The sequence below is a fragment of the Homo sapiens genome, chromosome 2 (assembly GCF_000001405.40).
Source record: "Homo sapiens chromosome 2, GRCh38.p14 Primary Assembly".
Lineage (NCBI taxonomy): Eukaryota > Metazoa > Chordata > Mammalia > Primates > Hominidae > Homo > Homo sapiens.
The window spans coordinates 60,134,987-60,138,728 of record NC_000002.12 but is presented as its reverse complement, the minus strand read 5'-3'; positions in this window follow the sequence as shown (position 1 = coordinate 60,138,728).

Below are 3,742 nucleotides of genomic sequence, written 5' to 3'. Positions count from 1 at the left end.
AGAATAACTTGAACCTGGGAGGTGGAGGTTGCAGTGAGCTGAGATTGTGCCACTGCACTCCAGCCTGGGCAACAGAGTGATACTACATCTCAAAAAAAAAAAAAATAGATTAATTATAGAGATGAAGCCCTGCCTGGGGCTTTTGCCGTATTGTATCATCCTTCCTTAATATAGCTGGTATTTCCACCACAGCCTTATCTATATTTGAGAATATTTGGAAGCAACTCAAATGTCCAAAAATGGGGATTGGTAAGATAAATTACGACACATCCCCACAGTGCAGGATCATGCAGTTACTTAAAATGCCGTAGTAGAATAATAGTTATCAACACAGAGACATGCAAGAGACTGTTATGTGTAAAGCAACAGAATGCTCAAGTATATTGAAGTGTAACTTTAGTTTGGAGAAAAGAAATTCATGCATACCAAAAATATTTGAAGGATACCAAATGTTAACAATTGTTGTCGCTGGGTATTGAATTGTGGAGTGATCTTTATTTTCTTCTTTTCTATATTTTCCATTTTTTTCAATGGAGATTTATTACTTTTATATCAGTGAGAAACAAAAGATGTTATTTTTAAGAAGGGAGTCTGTATTGGTAAGATTTATACACAGTCCTCCCAACAAGTCTCTTGGGAACACGTGCTCTCCTGCAGCACACACTCCAATCTTCACGTGGCTTGAACGCTGGCTCTGGGAAATGGGAATTCTGATTAGAGAAGGTGAGTCTAGAATGAGCCAGCACATTTAATCTCTCTCTGCTCTCAGTCTTCTCATCTCTCATATGGGTATAATTCATCTGCCCTCTGTGGGGAGAGGGAGGAAGATAGGTGTGGGAAGGAGTTATAATTCACACTCATAAGCACGTAAGAAATCTTAAGCCTTTGGCCATAAAGAGCCCAGAGGGAGTCGGTGGTAATGACTGAAGAGACCCTTAGGACAGGCTTCTGGGTTGTAAGAGAAAGATAGGACTGCATCCTGTTATGCAGCATTCCTCTGCTGGGTTGGAAGTGAGGTGTGGAAATCCCCCCAGCTCGTTCTTGGCAACTTTGTGTGGAATAATCTTTAATCGAACAGGCTTTGCCTTCAAAAAACTGATCAGAGGACTTGTGGGAAGTCTGAGGTTCCTGGCGTCATGGGCCTTACCCCTGCAGGGGGTTCCATGTGGACCAAAATTCAGTTAATAGGTTCTTCTCCTTGGCTCTCTGGGGTTTCCTGAGCCCCAGGAGAAATGTGAAATTGTCTTGCAACCAGACAAACTGTCAATTAAGGGAAGAGAGATCTCCCTCCCATTGATCAAACAATGTAAAAATACAAGCCTTCCTCAGGGGTAGATCAACCTGGCTCTGGGCACTGGCCCCAGCAAGACTTTGACCTGATCCAAGAGGGTTTGAAATGCTAATCCACTCATTCCTATTCCAGACATTCACAGATTAGGGCTGCTAGTTGATACAATCTACACTCTGGAAAATAGCAACCTGATTACAATTGGTTTTACATGCTCCCAGGAGCCAGGGGCAAGGCCTCTTCCATTGCAACTTGCAGCTGACCACCAGAATGACTTAGGCAGTGGGCCTCCAGGATAAATCTCTGACCTCTGGCTGCTCAGCCCTCTTTCAAGCCTAGACATTGGCAGAGGTCTTGAAGCCAAGCGGGGCAGGGCCTTCTGGACTGCCTGTGATCTCCTGCTTTAATCTCTGTTGCTCCTGATCCTGCTGCCCCAGATAATCTGAAAGGAGTCTTGCAAATGGAGCTAACGACATGCCTTGAAGGCTTTTGCTGGTGACATCCTCACTGATTTTCATGGCTCAACTCAGTTGCTACTTTCACAGTGAAGCCCTCTCTTACCCTTTCTTCATCACCCTTTCCTATATCCACAGCCTGTATCTCATACCTGAGTTAACCCTCATTCCTTTCTGCCAGGCGCTTTAGTTGATTGCCTACTTGTCTGTCTGCACCATTAAGCTGTAAGCTCCATATCACTTTTTACTGTGTTTTCCTGGTGTAGGCATCCTATAAATGCTTGACGGTTTGAAATAAAAGGCTGGGGCTTCATGGTGCTGGACTTCAGCTTTGCCAATTGCTTTGACACATTCCTGGTCCCATACTGTTTATTCACTTTTCTGAAATGCCTAACCTGACTATGGCAGGCTGAAGCAGTTAAGCAATAAATGAGAATTTAGCAAGAGTAATATGTAATGGACCCCACCTTTTAGGGACTTGGAATGGAGCTAGAGAGAAAGCATTACTTATCTGGAAGAACCCAAGAACCAGGTGAGACAGTGCTAGTAGTCCAGGTTTAGGTCATGGAGACCATCAGAGCGGCCTTTCTGGAGGAGGTAGGATTTGCCTTGGAGCCTTAACAATGGGGCGGATTTGGGAAGGGGGTTCTGAGGTGGCCAAATAGGAACAGCTCCAGTCTTCAGCTCCCAGCGTGATTGACCAGAAGATGGGTGATTTCTGTATTTCCAACTGAGGTACCTGGTTCATCTCACTGGGACTGGTTGGACAGTGGGTACAGCCCATGGAGGGTGAGCCAAAGCAGGGTGGGGCATCACCTCACCTGGGAAGCACAAGGGGTCAGGGGATTTCCCTTTCCTAGCCAAGGGAAGCCATGACAACTGTACCTGGAAAATGGGGGCACTTTTGCCCAAATATTGTGCTTTTCCAACAATCTTAGCAAATGGCACACCAGGAGATTATATCCTGCACCTGGCTCAGCAGGTCTCACACCCACGGAGCCTTGCTCACAGCTAGCACAGAAGTCTGAGATCTAACTGTGAGGTGGCAGCCTGGCTGGGGGAGCGGCATCCGCCATTGCTGAAGCTTGAGTAGGTAAACAAAGCCACTGGGAAGCTCAAACTGGGTGGAGCCCACCGCAGCTCAAGGAGGCCTGCCGGCCTCTGTAGACTCTACCTCTGGGGGCAGGGCATAGCTGAACAAAAGGCAGCAGAAACTTCTGCAGACTTAAAAGTCCCTGTCTGACAGCTCTGAAGAGAGTAGTGGTTCTCCCAGCATGGTGTTTGAGCTCTGAGAACAGACAGACTGCCTCCTCAAGTGGGTCCCTAACCCCCGTGTAGCCTAACTGGGAAACACCTCCCAGTACGGGCTGACTGACACCACATAGAGCTGGGTGCCCCTCTGAGACGAAGCTTCCAGAGGAAGGATCAGGCAGCAATATTTGCTGTTCTGCAGCCTCCACTAGTGATAACCAGGAAAACAGGGTCTGGAGTGGACCTCCAGCAGACTCGAACAGACCTGCAGCTGAGGGACCTGACTGATAGAAGGAAAACTAACAAACAGAAAGGAATAGCATCAAAATCAACAAAAAGGTCATCTACAACAAAACCCCATCTGTAGGTCGCCAACATCAAAGACCAAAGGTAGATAAAACCACAAAGATAGGGAGAAACCAGAGCAGAAAAGGTGAAAATTCTAAAAACCAGAGTGCCTCTTCTCCTCCAAAGGAACGCAGCTCCTCACCAGCAACAGAACAAAGCTGGATGGAGATTGACTTTATCGAGTTGACAGAAGTAGGCTTCAGAAGGTCGGTAATAATGAACTTCTCTGAGCTAAAGGAGGATGTTTGAACCCATCGCAAGGAAGCTAAAAACCTTGAAAAAACATTAGACAAATGGCTAACTAGAATAAACAGTGTAGAGAAGACCTTAAACGACCTGATGGAGCTGAAAACCACGGCACAAGAACTACATGATGCATGCACAAGCTTCAGTAGCCAAT